At 39.6% G+C, this 22112-nt stretch overlaps 1 protein-coding gene and 1 long non-coding RNA gene across 2 annotated transcripts in view, besides 4 other annotated features; both read right to left on the reverse strand.

The window, feature by feature from the left end:
- Window positions 1-21324, reverse strand: part of MACC1-OT1 (MACC1 3' UTR overlapping transcript 1) — a 221446-nt gene extending 200122 nt beyond the window's left edge. Inside the window, exon 1 of the long non-coding RNA NR_110114.1 lies at window positions 21215-21324. This is a non-coding gene — a long non-coding RNA (MACC1 3' UTR overlapping transcript 1). The remainder of the gene's footprint in view (window positions 1-21214) is intronic.
- Window positions 1145-1998: an enhancer, noted in NCBI's record as "OCT4-NANOG-H3K27ac hESC enhancer chr7:20159870-20160723 (GRCh37/hg19 assembly coordinates)". NCBI's record gives its function as "activates a minimal SCP1, AML or CMV promoter by ChIP-STARR-seq in naive and primed H9 embryonic stem cells {active_cell/tissue: H9 hESC(naive and primed)}" and the evidence as "EXISTENCE:reporter gene assay evidence [ECO:0000049][PMID:30033119]".
- Window positions 1999-2851: an enhancer, noted in NCBI's record as "NANOG-H3K27ac-H3K4me1 hESC enhancer chr7:20160724-20161576 (GRCh37/hg19 assembly coordinates)". NCBI's record gives its function as "activates a minimal SCP1, AML or CMV promoter by ChIP-STARR-seq in naive H9 embryonic stem cells {active_cell/tissue: H9 hESC(naive)}" and the evidence as "EXISTENCE:reporter gene assay evidence [ECO:0000049][PMID:30033119]".
- Window positions 6266-7119: an enhancer, noted in NCBI's record as "OCT4-NANOG-H3K27ac-H3K4me1 hESC enhancer chr7:20164991-20165844 (GRCh37/hg19 assembly coordinates)". NCBI's record gives its function as "activates a minimal SCP1, AML or CMV promoter by ChIP-STARR-seq in naive H9 embryonic stem cells {active_cell/tissue: H9 hESC(naive)}" and the evidence as "EXISTENCE:reporter gene assay evidence [ECO:0000049][PMID:30033119]".
- Window positions 7120-7971: an enhancer, noted in NCBI's record as "OCT4-NANOG-H3K27ac-H3K4me1 hESC enhancer chr7:20165845-20166696 (GRCh37/hg19 assembly coordinates)". NCBI's record gives its function as "activates a minimal SCP1, AML or CMV promoter by ChIP-STARR-seq in naive H9 embryonic stem cells {active_cell/tissue: H9 hESC(naive)}" and the evidence as "EXISTENCE:reporter gene assay evidence [ECO:0000049][PMID:30033119]".
- Window positions 15553-22112, reverse strand: part of MACC1 (MET transcriptional regulator MACC1) — an 82730-nt gene continuing 76170 nt past the window's right edge. The window contains exon 7 of the mRNA NM_182762.4: window positions 15553-22056. Within this exon, the coding sequence (NP_877439.3) occupies window positions 21844-22056 (213 nt within the window). The 3' untranslated portion in view covers window positions 15553-21843. The remainder of the gene's footprint in view (window positions 22057-22112) is intronic.

The raw sequence follows: 22112 nt of genomic DNA on the forward strand, positions 1-22112 counted from the left end.
ATCCTACCATACTCACAGTACTATAGAGGCAAATGTGGCATAAAATTATATCCTTGCAACTGCTTCTACCAGGTTTATGAAATTACTCTACAGTTTCCAGTTTCTTCTTACTAAGGTGCTAGTGATAACCAGTAATGAAGGTAAGCCTCTGCTTAGTCCTGCCTAAATTCTTTCTCATCTGATTTCTGTTTTCCTATGTTGTTCTTTTCCCTTTGAGGAATGAAAATTTCTGTGCCTGGATTCTTACTTCTTAATCTCTGTTTATACAGTTCTCCAAAATGTATGCAATAACATTTAGCAATAAATGTCTATAAGCTCTTTTCATCTTGCAAAAACTTGACTGCCTACAAATTTATCACCCTGGAAATGACATCTGCCTGTTCTATCAAGTTGGAAATGCTGTTCACCAACCTAAGCACTTGTGCCTTTTTCTCCAACCTGCTGGGAAGTTGGAGGAGCATGGATCTCTTGTGGGAAGAGCCATTCCCAAATGGTGCCTGAGCTAAAAGCAGATCTCATGGTGGCAGGGGTGATATCTAAAATATTTAATAACTAGTAAGGTACAAGCACAAAAACCAATCAAAACTGATACATATTATGTGGGAATATGAAGCATTTTCAAATTAATCATGAGATAGATTTAAAGAAATATTAAAATTTACCAAATAACTTACTGTGAGTCCCTGGCTTTGTTACAGCTATATCATCATGGTACTTATTAGCCACTGGAGAGGCCAGAATTATATCAGAGATACAACCAGCCTGCCACTCATTGGCCTTTACCCTCTGTGATGTTCCTGACACTGCCAGCAAAACCTCTCTATCACAGACTTACAGCTTCCTCCAGCTGCAAGAAACCCTGGTCTTGTTCTTATCTACTAAGCAAATGAATATTATAATCGACAAATAAATGAGCTTGATTGGGTCCTCATCCACTTATTCACTCATGTCACAAAAATTAAGTGAATTACAAATATGGACCAAGCACTGAATTCATTTTTAAAAATTTAATGAATAAATAAAATGATATGAGTAGATGCATAAATGAACAAATGACTAAAACTACGGTGATTACTAATTCTCTTTTGTAGAATAAGCATGGATTATTCTCCAAATAGAGGCTCTTAACACAGAAGACAAGGTAGGGAGGAAACTTCTACCAGTTTTAAAGAGACCAAGAGGGCAGAGAAGGGACATTTAGTTCTGAGATATCAATGATAGGACTGTGTTACAGATTCAGAAGCTGTCATTACTTGAGAGCAGAAGGAAGAAACAAAACAAAACGTTATTAACAATGATGGCAACATGTAAGTCTAGTTGGTTCTACCATAAATATTTGTATAGACTCTGCTATTTTCAAACTAATACTGATTAATTCTATCAGTTTAGCTTACCTCAACCCTGAAGAGGTTTATATTGCAATCATTCCACTCTACCTATTAAAAATTGATTATTTTGCAACTTGTATTATTTCTTTTAAGTTGCAGATTATTTGCTTATTTCAGTGAATTTTGTTGTATTTGGGCCTATGCCTGGGGCCACAGCTCCTTAAACTAACACAAAAGAAAAGGTTGAGTCATAAGCCCACCAAGATCCATTTCCTTATTGTCAGGCCTCTGAGCCCAAGCTAAGCCATCATATCCCCTGTGACTTGCATGTATACATCCAGATGGCCTGAAGTAACTGAAGAATAACAAAAGAAGTGATGTTTAAATGGCCTGTTCCTGCCTTAACTAATGACATTCCACCACAAAAGAAGTGAAAATGGCCGGTGCTTGCCCTTAAATGATGACATTACCTTGTGAAATTCCTTCTCCTGGCTCATCCTGGCTCAAAAAGCTCCCCCACTGAGCACCTTGTGACCACACTCCTGCCCTCCAGAGAACAACCCCCCTTTGCCTGTAATTTTCCTTTACCTACCGAAATCTTACAAAATGGCCCCACCCCTGTCTCCCTTCGCTGACTCTCTTTGCGGACTCAGCCAGCCTGCACCCAGGTGAAATAAACAGCCTTGTTGCTCACACAAAGCCTGTTTAATGGTCTCTTCACACTGGCGCGAGCGAAATTTTGGTGCCAGGACTCGGATCGGGGGCCTCCCTTGGGAGATCAATCCCCTGTCCTCCTGCTCTTTGTTTCGTGAGAAAGATCCACATACGACCTTGGGTCCTCAGACCGACCAGCCCAAGGAACATCTCACCAATTTTAAATCTGGTAAGCGGCCTCTTTTTACTCTCTTCTCCAACCTCTCTCACTATCCCTCAACCTCTTTCTCCTTTCAGTCTTGGTGCCACACTTCAATCTCTCCCTTGTCTTAATTTCAGTTCCTTTCATTTTCTGGTAGAGACAAAAGAGACACGTTTTATCTGTGGACCCAAAACTCCAGCCCTGGTCACAGACTTGGGAAGACAGTCTTCTCTTGGTGTTTAATCACGCAGGGATGGCTGCCTGATTATTCACCCACGTTTCAGAGTTGTCTGACCACACGGGGATGCCTGCCTTGGTCCTTCACCCTTAGCAGCAAGTACCGCTTCTCTGGGGGGCAGGAACCCCCCAACCCCTTCTCTCCATGTCTCTACCCCTTCTCTGCTTTTCTGGAGCGCAAGAAACCCCCGACCCCTTCTCTCCATGTTGCTACCCCTTCTCCGCTTTTCTGGGGGGCAAGAACCCCCCACCCCTTCTCTCCATGTCTCTACTCTCTCTTTTCTCTGGGCTTGCCTCCTTCACTATGGGCAGCCTTCCATCCTCCATTCCTCCTTCTTCTCCCTTAGTCTGTGCTCTCAAGAACTTAAAACCTCTTCACCTCACACCTGACCTAAACCTAAACGCCTTATTTGCTTCTACAATGCCGCTTGACCCCAATACAGACTCGACAGTGGTTCCAAATAGCCAGAAAACAGCACTTTTGATTTTTCCATCTTACAAGATCTAGATATTTCTTACCATAAAATAGGCAAATGGTCTGAGGTGCCTAACGTCCAGGCATTCTTTTACACATTGTTCCCTCCCTAGTCTCTGTCCCCAGTGTGACTCGTCCCAAATCCTCCTTCTTTCCCTCCCGCCTGTCCTCTCAGTCCCAACCCCAAGCATCACTCTTTCTAATCTTCCTTTTCTACAGACCCATCTGACATCCCCCCTCCTCCCCAGGCCGAGCCAAGTCCCAATTCTTCCTCAGCCTCTGCTCCCCCTACCCTATAATCCTTTTATCACCTCCCCTCCTCACACCCAGTCCAGCTTACAGTTTCGTTCCACGACTAGCCATCCCCCACCTGCCCAGCAATCTCCTCTTAAAAAGGTGGCTGGAACTAAAGGCAAAGTCAAGGTTAATGCTCCTTTTTCTGTATCTGACCCCTCCCAGAATCAGTTAGTCTTTCAGCTCTTTTTTCATCAAATATGAAAAACCCAGCCCAGTTCATGACCCGTTTAGCAGTAACCCTGAGACACTTTACAGCCCTAGACCCTGAAAGGTCAAAATACCATCTTATTCTCAATATACATTTTATTTTATTACCCAATCTGCTCCTGACATTAAATAAAGCTCCAAAAATTAAATTCCAGCCCTCAAACCCCACAACAGGACTTAATTAATCTCGCCTTCAAGGTGTACAATAATAGAATAGAGGCGGCCAAGTAGCAACTTGTTTCTGAGTTGCAATTCCTTGCCTCCACTGTGACAGAAACCCCAGCCACATCTCCAGGACACAAGAACTTCCAAACGCCTAAAACGAAGTGGCCAGGCATTCCTCCAGGCCCGCCTGCCCCAGAAGCTTGCTACAAGTGCCAGAAATCTGGCCACCGGGCCAAAGAATGCCCACAGCCCGGGATTCCTCCTAAGCCACGTCCCATCTGTGTGGGACCCCACTGGAAATCGGACTGTCCAACTCACCTGGCAGCCACTCCCAGAGCCCCTGGAACTCTGGCCCAAGGCTCTCTGACTCCTTCCCAGATCTTCTCAGCTTAGCAGCTGAAGACCGACGCTGCCTAATCACCTCGGAACCTTCCCAGACCATCACAGATGCTTTAAGTAACGTTCACAGTGGAAGGTTAAGTCCGTCCCCTTCTTAATCAATACGGAGGCTACCCACTCCACATTACCTTCTTTTCAAAGCCCTGTTTCCTTTGCCTCCATAACTGCTGTGGGTATTGACGGCCAGGCTTCTAAACCTCTTAAAACTCCCCAACTCTGGTGCCAACTTAGACAATACTCTTTTAAGCACTCCTTTTAGTTATCCCCACCTGCGCAGTTCCCTTATTAGGCTGAGATATTTTAACTAAATCATCTGCTTCCCTGACTATTCCTGGGCTACAGCCACATCTCATTGCCACCTTTTCCCCTAGTTCAAAGCCTCCTTCACATCCTCCCCTTGTATCTCCCCACCTTAAACCACAAGTATAGGACGCCTCTACTCCCTCCTTGGCGACGGATCATCCACCCCTTACCATCTCATTAAAATCTGATCACCCTTACCCCACTCAATGCCAATATCCCATCTCGCAGCACGCTTTAAAAGGATTAAAGCCTGTTATCACTCGCCTGCTACAGCATGGCCTTTTAAAGCCTATAAACTCTCGTTACAATTCCCCATTTTACCTGTCCTAAAACCAGACAAGCCTTACAGGTTAGTTCAGGATCTGCGCCTTATCAACCAAATTGTTTTGCCTTTCCACCCCATGGTGCCAAACCCATATACTCTCCTATCCTCAATACCTCCCTCTACAACCCATTATCCTGTTCTGGATCTCAAACATGCTTTCTTTACTATTCCTTTGCACCCTTCATCCCAGCCTCTGTTCACTTTCACTTGGACTGACCCTGACACCCATTAGGCTCAGCAAATTACCTGGGCTGTACTGCCGCAAGGTTTCACAGACAGCTCCCATTACTTCAGTCAAGCCCAAATTTCTTCCTCATCTGTTACCTATCTCGGCATAATTCTCATGAAAACACATGTGCTCTCCCTGCCAGTCGTGTCTGACTGATCTCTCAAACCCCAACACCTTCTACAAAACAACAACTCGTTTCCTTCCTAGACATGGTTGGATACTTTCGACTTTAGATACCTGGTTTTGCCATCCTAACAAAGTGCAAAAAGAAACCTAGCTGACCCCATAGATCCTAAATCCTTTCCCCACTCCTCTTTCCATTTCTTGAAGACAGCTTTAGAGACTGCCCCCTAGCTCTAGAGTCCCTAGCTCTCCCTGACTCATCCCAGCCCTTTTCATTACCCACAGCTGAAGTGCAGGGCTGTGCAGTAAGAATTCTTACACAAGAACCGGGACCATGCCCTGTAGCCTTTTTATCCGAACAACTTGACCTTACTGTTTTCCCCAGCTCTCAAGTCTATGTGCAGCGGCCGCTGCCACCCTAATACTTTTAGAGGCCCTTAAAATCACCAACTATGCTCAACTCACTCTCTAAAGTTCTCATAACTTCCAAAATCTATTTTCTTCCTCACACCTGACACATATACTTTCTGCTCCCCGGCTCTTTCAGCTGTACTCACTCTTTATTGAGTCTCCCACAATTACCATTGTTCCTGGCCCGGACTTCAATCCGGCCTCCCACATTATTCCTGATACCACACCTGACCCCCATGACTGTATCTCTCTGATCCACCTGACATTCACCCCATTTCCCCAAATTTCCTTCTTTCCTGTTCCTCACCCTGATCACACTTGGTTTATTGATGGCAGGTCCACCAGGCCTAATTGCCACACACAAGCAAAGGCAGGCTATGCTACAGCACAAGCCACTAGCCCCTCTTAGAACTTCTCATTTCCTTTCCATCATAGAAATCTACCCTCAAGGAAATAACTTCTCAGTGTTCCATCTGCTATTCTACTACTCCTCAGGGATTATTCAGACCCACCCCCCCCCCGCCCACCACCTTCCCTACACATCAAGCTCGGGGATTTGCCCCCGCCCAGGACTACTAAATTGGCTTTACTCAAAATGCCCCGAGTCAGAAAACTAAAATACCTCTTGGTCTGGGTAGACACTTTCACTGGATAGGTAGAGGCCTTTCCCACAGAGTCTGAGAAAGCCACCACAGTCATTTCTTCCCTTCTGTCAGACATAATTCCTCGGTTTGGCCTTCCCACCTCTATATAGTCCTATAACAGACCGGCCTTTATTAGTCAAATCACCCAAGCAGTTTCCCAGGCTCTTAGTATTCAGTGAAAGAATGGTCTTTTAAAAACACAGCTCACCAAGCTCAGCCATCAACTTAAAAAGGACTAGACAATACTTTTACCACTTGCCCTTCTCAGAATTCAGGTCTGTCCTCGAAATGCTACAGGGTGCAGCCCATTTGAACTCCTGTATAGACGCTCCTTTTTATAGGCCCCAGTCTCATTTCAGACACCAGACCAACTTGGACTGCACGCCCCCCCTCCAAAAAAAAAAAAAACAAAAAAATAAAAAAACCTGTCATCCCTACTATCTTCTATCTAGTCATACTCCTATTCACCATTCTCAACTACTCATAAATGCCCTGCTCTTGTTTACACTGCCGGTTTACACTATTTCTCCAAGCCATAACAGCTGATATCTCCTGGTGCTATCCCCAAACTGCCACTCTTAACTCTCTCTTAAAGTAAATAAATAATCTTTGCTGGCAGGGCTATGCTGAACCTCCTTAGGCACTCTCTAATTAGATGTCCTAGCTCCTCCCAATTCTTAGTCCTTTAATACCTGCTTTTCTCCTTGTCTTATTCCGTTCTTTTTTCAATTCATACAAAACCATATCCAGGCCATCACCAATAATTCTATACGACAAATGTTTCTTCTAACAACCCCACAATATCACCCCTTGCCACAAAATCTTCCTTCAGCTTAATCTCTCCCACTCTAGGTTCCCATGCCGCCCCTAATCCCGCTCGAAGCAGCCCTGAGAAACATTGCCCATTATCTCTCCATACCACCCCCAAAAATTTTCGCCGCCCCAAAACGTCAACACTATTGTGTTTTATTTTTCTTATTACTATAAGAAGACAGGAATGTCAGGCCTCTGAGCCCAAGCTAAGCCATCATATCCCTTGTGACCTGCACATAAACATCCAGATGGCCTGAAGTAACGGAAGAATAACAAAAGCGATATTTAAATGGCCTGTTCCTGCCTTAACTAATGACATTCCACCACAAAAGAAGTGAAAATGGCCGGTGCTTGCCTTAACTGATGACATTACCTTGTGAAATTCCTTCTCCTGGCTCATCCTGGCTCAAAAAGCTCCCCCACTGAGCACCTTGTGACCACCATTCCTGCCTGCCAGAGAACAACCCCCCCCTTTGCCTGTAATTTTCCTTTACCTACCCAAATCTTATAAAACGGCCCCACCCCTATCTCCCTTCACTGACTCTCTTTTTGGACTCAGCCCGCCTGCACCCAGGTGAAATAAACAGCCTTGTTGCTTACACAAAGCCTGTTTGGTGGTCTCTTCACACGGACGCGAGTGAAACTTATTTGCAAAGCACGGGCTGAATTAACGGGACTATGTTGCCCACAATTAGAGAAGCAATTGTCTTGTTCAATCATTTTGGGGTTTCCTGTAGAACATAAACTTCTTAATGACAGAAATTACGGGCATATTCACATTTGCCTGACCTACAACAGATGCCAAATAAGTTTTCCAGATAAATGACTGAAGGGGTAAATGTGCTCTGGACAGACCTCACCAAGACACTGGGTTTAGCTCTAGGGGGGCAACTATCTGAAGAGGAAGATAGGCAACCCACTATGAAAGTAACATGCAGGGAAGAATCTGAAAATTATTTATTTGAAACGAGGGGACTTAGGGTGTGCAGCCTAGTGAAGAAATGTTTTAAAGTTTTGAGGGAATGATTGTTGTCTCCAAATGTCTGAAGGAAGTACCTGTAGAAGGGCATTAGTGAAATAGTTTCCTCCCACTGACAGCAAAATCCATGAGAACAGGGAATGTGTCGTGTCATTTTATCTTCAGCATTTGTGGTACAGATTAGGCACTCAGTCAGCATTTATTAAATGATGAATAAACGAATGAATAAGGTACAAAAGTCAGATTTGGGCTCAAGTACAGGCAGACCTTCATAAAAGGAGAATTGTTCAAAAATGGAATGCCCTTTCTGGGTGGCAAGTTTTACAAAATGTAGTCCATAAAAATAAAATGTGGATAACCATCAGCTGGGTTTAATTCTAAGATTTCCTGATTTATGCATGGGACTTCCAATGAGTTACTAAATATTTTCTGGGCCAATGGGTTCTGAAAGTTATACCCAAGTATGAATGTGATTGATAATCACACAAACTGCTTCACCAGTGAGATTATCCAGTCATCTAGAAAATCATAGTATTAATCCAGAGGCCTCCAGAAAAGAAGCATAAATAGAAAAATTCAATCCATCATTACTGCCCCAGTCTCATTTCAAAATGTTTTTCAAAAGAAAAACATAGGAATGATAACAAGATTTCAAAGTAGGTATTCTATTAAACTCTTTCAATAAAGCACTTCAAACAATGAAAAGTATGTTTTATGTGGAGAATACAATTGCTCATGAAAATAGACAAATAAAAACAACAAAAATCTATCCTATTACAGATTTCTATTGAAAAATTGCTGCAATATGCAGACTGATTGGGTCATTTTATCTAATCCTATACAATATACAATTTTAGATAATCCTTTCACAGATATGTTTCGATAGTCTATAGTTTTATTGGTTAGGATGTTTTAGGGAGCTATATTGACCCTCCATGGCCCAAGAATTCATGCCAATTACTTTATCTGATTCCAGAAAATACTCATTTTGTATATTCCCAATCAACAAAATGTTTATTTTGGTTTTTCTGAAAATAAGAGCAAGTCAAATCTTCATAGTTAATTATAATTGGACCTCTCTCAAGGTCTTTTCTTGTGTGAAGTACTCAGTGATGGAATTATTTCTACTTGAGCACTGTTTAGTCAGGGTTGTAGTTTTTCTAAGATTTTTTTAAACACTGGAATGTTTTGGAAATACAGTCTCCTTTATTAATGTAAGAGGCCTGCCCGTAAACTTGAGCTAATTCTGTTGAGTCAGGGCTTACTGATAGATTCCTGAATTTACCCAGAGCTTTAAATGTTGTATTCCAAGTGTCCTTTGCCCTCAAGGACTCAAGGAGTGCATTAATGTAGTTGTCACTGTAATATTTAATAAGAAACCTTGCTTAGGATTTTAGAAACTTTCCATTTGAAGGTGTTTTTGCTCCTAAATAATACAGAAACTATCAATATACAAATAAGGCTGAGAAGGCAGGAAAGCTCGTTGATTGTACTTACTCTGCAATCCCAGGACACAGGAAAATGGAACTTAAGAAGCAGGTAGTCCAGAAAGAATAAATCTTCAAGTCTGCTGTTTTTACTATGTGCAATAGTTGAAATTAACTGTCAAATCAGGTTTTAATCTAGCTAAGTAGATATTTAAAAAAAAGCGATTTGCAGTTAACACAAGCATGTCTGTTATTGTGCCACAAAACTACAAAGGAAGCAACAGGACTGAATTGTAACGATGACAACAGATCTCACTACATTTCATGTTTAATATGTTTTGGAAATCCTTTAATACAGAGAGCATTGATTCAAGGCCTCTCTACATGTAAATTCAATAACTGTTGACTAATTATATTTTATGCCATGTGTATAAATATTTGTCCAGCTCCTCCATGTGATTGAAAATGGCCTTAAAAATTAAAAGATTTTCTGCAGTCATGTCTTGTGCCAGCATAGTGCTTTGCTAAGAATAGATACACAATTAACATTGTTTTCTCAGAAGTTGTCACTTCATCTATTGTTTTAAGAATAATAGGTCTATCCCTCTGATTTTTTCTTTTTTTTTTTTTTTGCCAATGAGAAAAAAGAAGAGAAAGAGGAAAAAGAATGAGAAAGAGAAAGGTAAGGGGAAAGAGGAAGAGAAGGAAAATAAAAGCAGAGAAAGAAGAGCCTGCCATTGACTGGATTGCCGTAATTAAAACAATCAATTCTCATTTAATTTATTTGGATCATGCTTACACTTATGGTACCTGGGTTGACACCAATTAGTGCTCCATAAATGCTAATTGATGGGTTAGTTGATAACTGCAAAATCTGTATCCACGTGAAGTCACTGTCATGCTCTGGGGAATCTGGAGGAGGATTTCCAAAGACCCTTTGCAAAGATGGAAAAGTTAAACATTTAGCTTTCTCTCTTCCTCTCCCTCTTGCAAGTTAAAGCTATCTCTATGTTTTAAATTTATTGTGCAGATAAACAAGCTTAATACTAGTTTCCATAAATTAAAAGAAACACTTTGTCCTTCCCATAAACTAGCTGTTAGGTTTATGTAAAGTTACAAATTGTTTTCACTGCTGTATTTATTTTTTGATGGAATGAAGTACAATGTTTTGTAGTCAGAGAAACTGGTAATTGAGTAAGGAACTTACAGATACCCTTGCAAGAATTATCCACATCAGAGTGGCGTGAGCTGCATTAGGTCTGGTCCTCAGCCTGTTTGTCCTCAGTATCTCTCCCTGTCAATTTTGGCATCTAGTACTTTCTTTAAGTCTTGCCCATTCTGGGAACTTTCCACGATTCCCTTCATCTATAAAAATATCTTATGTCCCTTCCTTACCGTAGGTTTAATATGGTGATTATTTAAGCTGCGGCACAAAGAGCCTGATAATGACAGGGTGTTATCTTTCCCGGTTGCCACTTTTACTTTTAACAGGGACTTCAGTGTTTTGTACTTATGGTGGCCAATTGTCTTGGTTTGCCTGAAACTTCCCTGGTTTTAGCACTGAAAATCCCACGTCTCAGGAAAGCCCTCAGTCTTGGACAAACCAGGAAAGGCTGTTTACCATAAGTGCACTCAAAGAATTCTGTAAAAAATGGCAATTGAGAAAAACTTTTTAGCCTTCTCTCTCAAATTGCAGTTCTCAGTTAGAGATTTTCTTAGCCTGTTCTCTCAAATCCCTGCTTAGGACAATCTACCAGGTCTCCTCAGGAGTTCAGCACATTCTGTCTTTTTTCTTACCCACCACACCCTTCAAGACAAATTTCCCAGATGCTTGGCTCAGTGTGCTCTCTGGGTGATCCAAGCCTCCCCTTGTTTTTGTTTGTTCTATAAGAGACATTTGCTTCCCAGCCATCCCAGTGTTCATCAACAAGAACAACAACAACAACAGCAACAACAACAAAATCAAAGGAGTGACAATCTGTTCTTAGACTGTCTTCACAGTTCCCCACCAGAAAAAAGAGTATTCCTTTTCTGCAGCACTTAAATCCTATACTGGCAGCAATGAAAACCCAAGGGAAATTATCTACAAGTATGAACAGACAGTCCTCAATTTATTTACGAGTTCGACCTACGATTTTTTTGACTTCACAGTGGTGGGAAAGCAATACTCATTCATTAGAAGCCAGACTTTGAGTAAGTACCCATACAACCATTCTGTTTTTCACTTTCGGTATAGTATTCAATAAATTATCTGAGCTATTCAACACTTTATTATAAAATAGGCTTTGTGTTAGATGATTTTGCTCAACTGTAGGCTAATATAAGTGTTTTGAGCACTCTTAAGGTAGGCTAGGCTAAGCTACGATGTTCTGTAGGTTAGGAGTATTAAATAAGCTTATTTTTTATTTATTTGTTTTGTTTGTTATTGTTTCTAGAGATGAAGTCTTGTTATGTTGCCCAGGCTGGGCTGGAACTTGTATTACCTACACCAATGTTGTTTACCATTAGTTCCCATAAGCAGAGTTTGACTCTTTATCATGCCTGAATTAAAAGAACAATGGCAGTTCCAGCTGCGTAGTTCTATCATCTTACTGTATTTCAGATCAATCCGTGGCTTTGGAATGTCCCTCATTTCTCAGGCATTGAGGATTTTCTGGTGATAGAGAAATAAGGGGGCAGAAATTTTAAAAGGCTCATTGCAGGATTGTTTAACATGCATTTGAACGAAGTAGTTGGTTTTAGTAACAAAAAAAACCTGACTAAATAATTTTTATTATGGGCTGAATTGTACCCTCCCTCAAGTTCACGTTGAAGTGCTAACCCCTGGTACCTAAGAATGTAACCATATTTAGAGGTAGTGTCTTTCAAGAGGTAACTTAAATGAGGTCACTAGGTGGGCGCTAATCCAGTATGACTGGTGTCCTAAAGAGAAAAGGACATGACACATTGACACACTCATAAAAGGAAGAGCATGTAAAGATACAGGGAGAAGACGGCCATCTTTAAACTAAAGAGAGAGGCCAGAAATATATTCTTCCCCACGGCCCTCAGAAAAATCCAACCCTGCCAAAACCTTGATTTTATTTCTAGCCTCCAGGATTGTAAGAAACATTTCTGTTTTCTAAGTCACTCAGTATCCCCCTTATCTGCAGGGGATACATTCCAAGACCCAAGGTTGATGCCTGAAACCACTGATGGTGCCAAACCCTGTGTAAATTTTTCCTACACATACATTCCTATGATAAAGCTTTAAGAAATCAACAATAATAAAATCAAACAAATATAACAATATACTGTAAAAAAAAAGTTACGTGAACATGATCTTTCTCTCAAAATATCTTATTGCATTGTACTCACCCTTCTTGTGACAATGTGAGATGATACAATGCCTACATGATGAGATGAAGTGAGGCGGATGAGGTAGGCATTGTGATGTAAATGGAAAATTCCAGAAATAAACAATTCATAAATTTTAAAATTGCATGGCATCCTGAATAGTGTGATGAAGTCTCACTCTTTCCTTTTCCGTCATCACTTAGTACCTATCTTGGTTATCAGATTGACTGTCACTGTTTCCTTGTGCTTGTGTTCAAGGAACATTTTTTTACTTAATATTGGCCCCAACGTACAAGAGTAGTGATGTAATATTTTCAGAACGGGGATGGCCACAGGTAACTGAACCCATGGAAAGTGAAACCACAGATAATGGGGGACTACAGTAATGCAGTTTTTTACTAGATAAACACAGAATATACTAAGTGGTCAAAACAGAGCTCTCATTAAAGATGGATTTAAAACTTTGCTCGAGACAGGAACCCAGGGTGGGTGGATTAATTACATGCAGTGGGTTTGCACCTGTTTCACTGGAACCTGGACTCTTATTCCTAAGCATACAGTAACTTCTCAGCAATCAAAATAGAAAGAAATATAGAGCTTTTCTAACAGCGTGAAAGGATATTTGATTTTCCTTTTTCTTCTAAACTATCAGTGAAATCACTTGAAAATAGATTTAGGAATGTAATATCAAGTACTTACTTATCTTCCTCTTTTAAATAACCTTGATCACTAATCTCTTATTTTGCCACAACCCACACCGTTCCATTCAACCTTGAAAAACCTAATATCCAATTTCATCCCAAAGAGCATTTCTCTATGTACAGCAAATTATGAATATAGTTGAACAAACATTAAACAGGAACTATATATTAAGGAAAAAATGATCATGGGCTCCTAAAAATAAAAAGACAGGATTAATTCTATGACATGTTGACTATATCTTAATAAAGCTGTTAGGTATTTTAAAAAAGAACAAACACACCACCATTGTTGGTGGTATCCCTTTACATTTTGCCCTATTTTTTGATGATGTCTTGGAATCATGTAATTCCCTTCAATTGCTGTTGCTGTTCTACTTTCCCCTTGGGCAACATTTTGGGGTTATTACTCAGACAAAAGAAGAGATAAAGATCTCCAGTGAAAAGTCAGATGGCTGAGAAAGGTGAAATACCACTGAGCTTGGACCCCGCTTTCCTAGTTTCATTCAGGAAATGTTTGAAGGAATTTGCCATGGTTGTTTTTCACCAGCAGGTCATGACACTCGATTCTAACCTTACAATTTTCACAATCAAGCATTCTGGGAACTCCTTCTCTGTCCCTCTCTTCCCCTCAGCTTCTTTCTAGCAGTAGGTGAAGTGCATCTACTACATTATAGGTCCTGCTTGAGAGTAATTGAAGTCACAGGAGATCTGCCTCTGGTCCTCTTAGGCCAGGTGCCCCTGTGGCCTTGATGGGGTTGTAGGTGGTTTTGTCATGTCATCAGCAATTCGTAAAGTGGTATGTAGAGAGCAGATATTGCCAGTGAAGTTCCATTTACTTATCATTTGATTTATTGCAGAAGTTTATAGAAAAGCAGGCCCATTGCCAGTCTCATACTAAGGACTCAGAAAACTAGCTTCTTGAATTGCACTTGAGGGAGAAAGATTTCCTGAGGCAGCAAATAGTGCTGAGGCTAAGTGATCCTCTCGCCTCAGCTTCCTGAGTAGCTAGGACCACGGATGTGCACCACCATGCTCAACAATTTTTTTTTAATTGTATTTTTTGTAGAGATGGGGTTTTGCTGTTGCCCAGGCTGGTCCCAAACTTCTGGCCTCAAGCGATCCTCCTACCTTGGCCTCCCAAGTGCTAGGAATACAGGCATGAGCCACAGTGTTTGGCCTGGTCTTTTTACAAATGGAAAACACAGTATCTTTCCTTCTTTCTCTTTACCTGATCTATAAAAAGATACAAATTAACTGTTGTTTGCTTATCTCCTGGATGGATTTAATGCTATCTAAGACTGTTTTGTAAAACACCAAAGAAACTTCAGCTAGAGCAAACGCAGCAGCCCTACATCAAAATTGTCATTTATCGGTCTTTCGAGAGCTGGTGTCAGAAAACCTATTTTAAACTGGATTAGGCACAAAGAATTTGTCTCTCACAACTAAAAACTCCAGGAGGCAGTTTCAGGCATTCCAGTATCCAAGGCTTGAAGAGTGTGATCAAACTTGTGTTTTGTTCTTGTTTTGTTAGTTCCCCTACCTATATTTGATTATATTAGTTTCATCCCTGGGCTCCACAAAGCTGCCCAGCAGCTCTGGGCTTTCCCTTTATGGTAACAACATGGCTGCAGCAGCTCCATCCTCACCTCTCCTCATGTTCCAGTTTCAAGGTGACATGGCCTTGTAATTTCCCCTGGGCTAAACTAAATAGTGTTTCCCAGGGCTTTCTTCACTGAGTGTCTCTGAGTGTTGCTGATTAGAGTTGACCACAGAGAAATCTATGTAAGATTTGTAAGGTCACATTGGAGCAGGAGCACTGTTACTCTTGGAAGGTGGAGGTAGGTCAGGCGATCATTGCACCACTGCACTCCAGCTTGGGTGAGACAAGGAGACCTTGTCTAAAAAATAAAATAAAATAAAATAAAAATAAAAATAAAAATAAAAATTCCAACACAAAGAGAGGAAGACAAAGTTTCCATTGTCATGAATAGGCAGCCTTCTTTCTTTACACCGTAATTGAACCCTTCCCTAGCTCCACTTCACCCCTTTCTTGATTTTTCGTCATGATATAAAACGTCTGAGTGAGCATTGAGTATGTATTTCCTGGGAGTAAACCCAGAGAATGGGTTTTTCTACTCTGATAAGAAAGGGCGCAGTAGCTGGTTCTATTAGGTCATTTAATCTAATATGTGTAAGATCAGCATTACATCAGACTTGCCAATTCCAGATTCTGCTTTAAAGAGTGAGTTTGGTAGAACCAGTTTAGGTAAAAACAATAACTTAATCATAACTAAAGATTTGATTTTTCAATGACTCACTCTATTTTCATGAACAAGTTAAATGCCCCAGTAAATTCCATGTATTGAGTTTAAGTGAGCATATAAACATTAGGGACATTTAAAATCTACTTCCAGTCACAAAAGGGCAGAGTCTTGATATCTTTAAGAACAGAGAAAAGGAAGCCATAGATTCTTCCAATCACCCAAAGAAAAACAATTAACAAGGAAATGATGGCAGAGGATAAAACGTGATACGTCAATCTCAAAGTGAGATGGTTCAGCTTGCCACCTCTTCTCAGTCACCATCTCTTTAAATGTGGAATATGATCCTTAGAAAGAACATCCGATCACCTTATTAACACTTTCTAATTCTACAGTGAAAGCAGGGCATATAGATAGCTGTATTGATCACATTGATTAAAAACATTTTTTTCAATGGGAAAAAATACATTTAACAAGAAATTCAACAAATAACACACTAGGGAAAACAAGGCTTTTTCCGAAGATATTTTACAGAAACAAATGCAATGTTACATATATTTTGTAAAATTATCTTAAAATTATACTGAATACATGTCCCAAATTATTGTTAACCTATTTTTATTCAAATATGTTTATGCTTTAAATGAAACACAGAGATTTTAATTAGTTTCACAGTCAAAATTATTTTTGTAGGCCTTTATTAACTCATGAAAAGTTCACTTGCTATAAATAGAGCCTTAACATAAAGTGATTTTCGGTTCTTTAGCACAATTTTTAAAACAATTTCTCCAACAGAATTAAGTGAAATCTCATTTATCTTAAAGCAAATTAGAGGACTTATAAAAAATCTTTCCATTTCTATAGAGATGAAGGAAATTTTAATACAGTGGTTCTCAAACTGGGGTCCCTGGACCAGAAACATCTGCATCACCTGGGAAGTGATTAGAAATGCAAGTGATCAGGCCAGACCCTCTGAATGAGAAATTCTGGTGGTCGAGCCCAGCAGTCTGTTTCACCAAGCCCCCGCCAGATCGTTTTGCTGCTGCTGAAGTTGAAGAACCACTGCCGTAATGATTGCCTGGTCTAAGGCCTTGACAATGAGACTGGAGCATGTTTGGCAGCGTGCTTTGAGAAGCTCCTAGTGAAACCAATGCTGACCTCCTAAGTCAGTACTCAAGCACCATACTGTAGTTTGTTTTAAACAGCTGGAAGTCACCAATTGTTCAAAAACAGTGTGTATTACATAATCAATTTCAAAAGATTATGTAAAGAATAAATGAGGATATTTGTAAGGTGCTTAGTGTGCTTATGTATGTGTGCTAAATGTGCTATGCCTTACACATAGAGGACACAATTTTAATGTGGATAATTGGTATTCAAATTATTACTCTTAAATCACATTCTCTTTTCTCAAAGCAAAAAGAATAAAGAAAAACGCAATACATTCTAGTCATTGAACATTTATAGACATTTAAACCCAAGGGGAACACTAGAGGTCATTTGGTTCAAGTTCCTTGTTTTACTGGTGAGAAAACTGAAGACCAGAGAGGCCAAGTGACAGGTCCACAGTCTCATAGGGAGTAAGGGAGTAATGGACAAAGATTAGAAACCGCAGCTCTCAACTCTTTGACTAGTGTCTTGTAGAGGAAGCCTTTCATGCTGTACTCATTATGACAACAACAATATTTTCTATGAAATTTTCTCCTTTGGCCTTACTAATTATTATCCAGTGCTAACCTCTCTGTCTCTACTCCCTCACATATAAACTGACACTATTATTCAAAATTACAAAACTATTTATTAGGGTTAAAACTTTCTAGATGTACATAAATAGAAAATCAATGTAAAATATACATGCAAAAGATACACATTTCTACAATGTTCAGTGAAATCTTGATGCTGAACATCAGATACATTTCAGATGCTGTATGTGTACAAATTCAACTTTCCTATGTATATGTGGTCACTTTATTTTGTGCTGTGGACCAGTAAATACATATGCAAGAAACAAACCTTCGACATGCCATTTGATTCTGAAAAAATGTCTTTGGATTATCCCACCAATCATATTGATGTTCTTTAGAACTTCACTCTCACTAAACCATACAGCAGCATGTGGGAGAAAAGTTCATACAGAAGGAGGAGGGACTTACTTCTCCTCCTTGCGATTATTATTGCGATTAAGGATTATTATTAATTCTTAAAGATTAAGATTATTATTAATTATTAATTGTAATTATTAATTCTTAAAGATTATTAATTATAATATTAAATTATATTATTAATTCTTAAAGATTATTAATTATAATATTAAATTATAATTATTAATTCTTAAAGATTATGAATTATAATATTAAATTATAATTAATTCTTAAAGATTAAGATTATTATTGTGAATAAGAAGAAAAATGATCTAATTTAATGTAAAAACCCTCCAGTGACATCATTGTTCATTATTCTCTTTTTCTTTTATATTACCTCAAAAATTCCTTAGATATAAACAATTACAGAAAACATAACAATAGCACAATATAAAAATTCAAGTCCTTCAACTTCCAGTTATAGCATTGTACAAATTTGAGTGTATGCATGTTCTCTTTTGCATGTTCACATTACACATTCAAGGCTGATTAGTAGCAGCAGTGTTTCTCAGCCCAATGCCATCCATTGATTTAGCATTCTATTCCTTCCAGAAACCTAGTCATCCCCAAACTGAGAACTTTATATAGTATGTTCTACATTACAGGCCATGAAAATGTGCTGTATCCATTTATTAGTATGAACAGTTAATGACACACTATTGAATGCTTCTACTTAATTGTTTCATATAAAGGCTTTAACACAAAGGAGGTAGAGGATCTGTGGCTTATACAGAAAAATTATTATGTTTCAAGCTGGGCACTTAATTCAAATCTTATCCTAAGTCACGCATCATTAGACAAAAAGCCTGAGGAACTGAAAGAACCATGTAAACATTTTCTGCTTTCAAAATGCTTAAAGAAGTTTTAGATTAATGGGATTTGATACTTTTAATGATGTCAAAGATGGTATATAAGTGCCTTATTATTTCATTGACTTACTGCCAAATATTGAAGGCAATTCATGATTACTAATTTAATCTTTTCTGATTATGAAAATCCATTATAGCAAGAAAAAATATAAAGTTCAGAAAAGTAGAAACTATTTATTTAAAAATTAGAATATATTTATACAAACAGAATGTTTGGACATGGGCTTAAAATTCCTCTGGAAGGCTGGGAGCAGTGGCTCATGCCTGTAATCCTAGCACTCTGGGAGGCCGAGGCAGGTGGATGACCTGAGGTCAGGAGTTCCAGACCAGTCTGGCCAAAATGGTAAAACCTTGTCTCCACTAAAAATACAAAAATTACCCGGACAAGGTGGTGCATGCCTGTAATCCCAGCTACTTGGGAGGCGGAGGCAGAAGGATCTTTTGAACCCAGGAGGTGGAGGTTGCAGTGAGTCAAGATTGAAACACCGCACTCCAGTCTGGGCAACAGAGCCAGACTCTGGCTCAAAAAAAAAAAAAAAAAAAAAAAAAAAAAATTTCCCCTGGAAGGATTTGTTACAAGATTATAAAATATATTTGTGTGTATTAATATTAGAACCATTGTTTCATCCTCAAATTACAGAGATCTTGTTTTTCATTTTTTTAAACTCTTATTATTCTCAATCACAATCATAATACATGATGCAATGTAAACCTTAAATTATTTATTTAATCTTACTACACTAATCAGCTAACAAGATCTCTGTCTTCTTAGATCTTGGAGCCTGGAAAAACCCAGTTATTAATCCCCACTATCCCTTCCCAAAATTCTCTGGTTAGCTGACATGTTAATAAGATTCCAAGAATGTTCTAAAGAAAGCAAAATCACCACAAAAAAGGACTGTGTTCTGAAAGTAAAAACTGTGCTTTTTTTTCCTTCTCTCATAATTTATTTTTAATTAAAATAAATTCTGTCCTTGAATGTGTATACATAATTATTTGGTCAGGCTGTGTTCCCTTATAATCAAATATAAATACTGAAAGCCGTACAGATTATTCCTTTTTTTTTTTTTGAGACAGCCTGTCACCCAGGCTGGAGTGCAGTGGCATGAACTCGGCTCACTGCAAGCTCCGCCTCCCGGGTTCACGCCATTCTCCTGCCTCAGCCTCCTGAGTAGCTGGGACTACAGGCGCCTGCCACCACGCCCGGCTAATTTTTTGTATTTTTAGTAGAGACGGGGTTTCACCGCGTTAGCCAGGATGGTCTCGATCTCCTGACCTAGTGATCTGCCCGCCTCGGCCTCCCAAAGTGCTGGGATTTCAGGCATGAGCCATCGCGCCCGGCCAAGATTATTCTTAAACGCCAATTTGAATTACCATTGCCAGCATACCAAATATCCCAGGGTGGGTATATTAAAAGCCCTAAAAAGATTCTGCTTTTACTTTTTAGCCAAATGGACATCTTTTATTCAGGTTCCCAAAACAAAATCCTTCTTTGGCTTACCCACATTTCTTTGAGGCTGTGTGTTTTCTTTCTAAATTCTAGCAGCCTTAATGGCCCTAATGTGGCTTCTTCTTGCTCCATCCTCATCTCAACCTTGAATCTTTTATCCTTTCACTCCTTCACCCCTGCTATCTGCACCTATTCAGCTCCCACCCATCTAAGAGCTTCAGTGCTTTGTGGGATCACCGCTTACACCCCACCACACCAGGACAATGCCTACTCTTCCTTGAGGTTCATTATTTCTTTCCAAGAACAAATTTCCCTGACCCACCCCCACTTCCAGTTTCACATGATGGCATCTCTACGTTTATATCTCGTAGCATCACAGCCTCTCCATTGCAACTGTTAGTATGCATGCCATTTTCTATTTAACGGTGTCATTTTTTAAAATTATCTATTACTTAGCACTACTAAAGTCAGAGTTCATGCTGGTTTTTTCCCATTAGCCTCAAGCATCTATATGCCTGCCAAAAAATAGACACATATACTCTACCTATTGACTGAATGACAATAAATGAATGTCTGTCCAAATACACACATAAACACTGGCAGGCAACCAGAGGATTGAACAGAGGAGTAAGCAAAATACATCTCTTTGTGAACTTTGTCAGCCATTAGCATTTATACTGACCCAGGGTCCTATACAATTTTTGTCCTATATAATCAATTAGGCTGTGCTTTATAAAACACTGTGGTACACACACACACACACACACACACACACACACACACATGTGTTTGCATGAGCATGCCAACATAAAGATATCAGTGTTTTCGGTGGTTAAGACCTCTCTACTCAACAGGGTAATCAAGTTAATCAAGTTTCTGGTGGTGGTGGTTTTTAATAACTCGTATTATTAAAAATCTCCAAGAGCTAAAGAACTATTTTACATTACAATCCTGCAGAAAAAGTCCCAAATTAGGCAGGATTAGAGAGGTCCCAAGATGCTGAAGGGAGCTGATGAAAACACTAGGTCCATGCATGCAGACAACAGATTTCTGATAAGTCATATTTTCCTTCTGTCAGTCTTTCAAGAGACGATGAAAAAGAGTAGCAAGTCTCACTTAAAATGAAACGGCAACTGTTTCCCTGTAAGTCTTAACACGCATTTTGTTTTTACTATTCTGTTATGCAGTATGATTTTTTAAAAAGAAATAGAAACAGGTTTTTCAAGCAGAAAACCTACTTTGTACTGGCTATGTAGCCTCAGACGTTCTCTCCACTTCTGAGTTTCTCCCCATGAAAAATGGGGGTGATGCTGGTGAACCCCACTGATGAACTGAAGAGGTCAGGTGTGGAAAGCGGGCAGCCGTGACTGGCCACAGGGTGTGTGCTTGCTTCCCCTCTTTCTAGCTGCCTCCTGGGAACACTGCCTTGATCATGTTGATAGTCTCTAGTTTACCCAGATATCTGTGTGATGTAATTATTCAAACAGCTTTGACTTAGTAAATTTAAAATAACACTGAAAGAGAGAGAGGGCACTTTTCTTTTTTCTTTCCTTTCTAAGAACAAAGCAGCCTAATACTTGTATTTGAAACATACACAAAAATACATATTTGAGGATAAAACCCATCTTGGTTATCAGTTAGGCTGTGCTTTCATCAGGAAAAAAAAACTGGTTTTGAGCATGAAGAAAATTAATATAATGCTTTTCTGAGATTCTTTCTTTCCTACACACACACACACACACACACAGACACACACACACAGACACACACACACAGACACACAGAGACACACACAGACACACACAGACACACACACACACACACCATTACCTCATTTTCCCTCCCATCAAAAACACACGCTTTGTTTCTATACTTCCTCAGAAGTGGAGAATGCAGTTACTCTCAAAACCTCCAAAGAATTTACTAGTATTAAAACTCCAGTTAATTCTCTCCAGTGTTTAGTCACAGGGTTTTTCATTCTGTCCAAAGCTGACTGAAGGTCTTGTAACACATCTCTGTAGTTATTTCCATAGTGAGCACTCCAGGTATACAGAAAATCATAGGCAGGTTTCCACATCATCTATAAAGAAAAAAAATAGATTGGAGTAGTGTGGAAGTAGAAAGGAGAGGAAAATC

This window comes from Homo sapiens, chromosome 7, assembly GCF_000001405.40.
Source record: "Homo sapiens chromosome 7, GRCh38.p14 Primary Assembly".
Taxonomy (NCBI): Eukaryota; Metazoa; Chordata; class Mammalia; order Primates; family Hominidae; genus Homo; species Homo sapiens.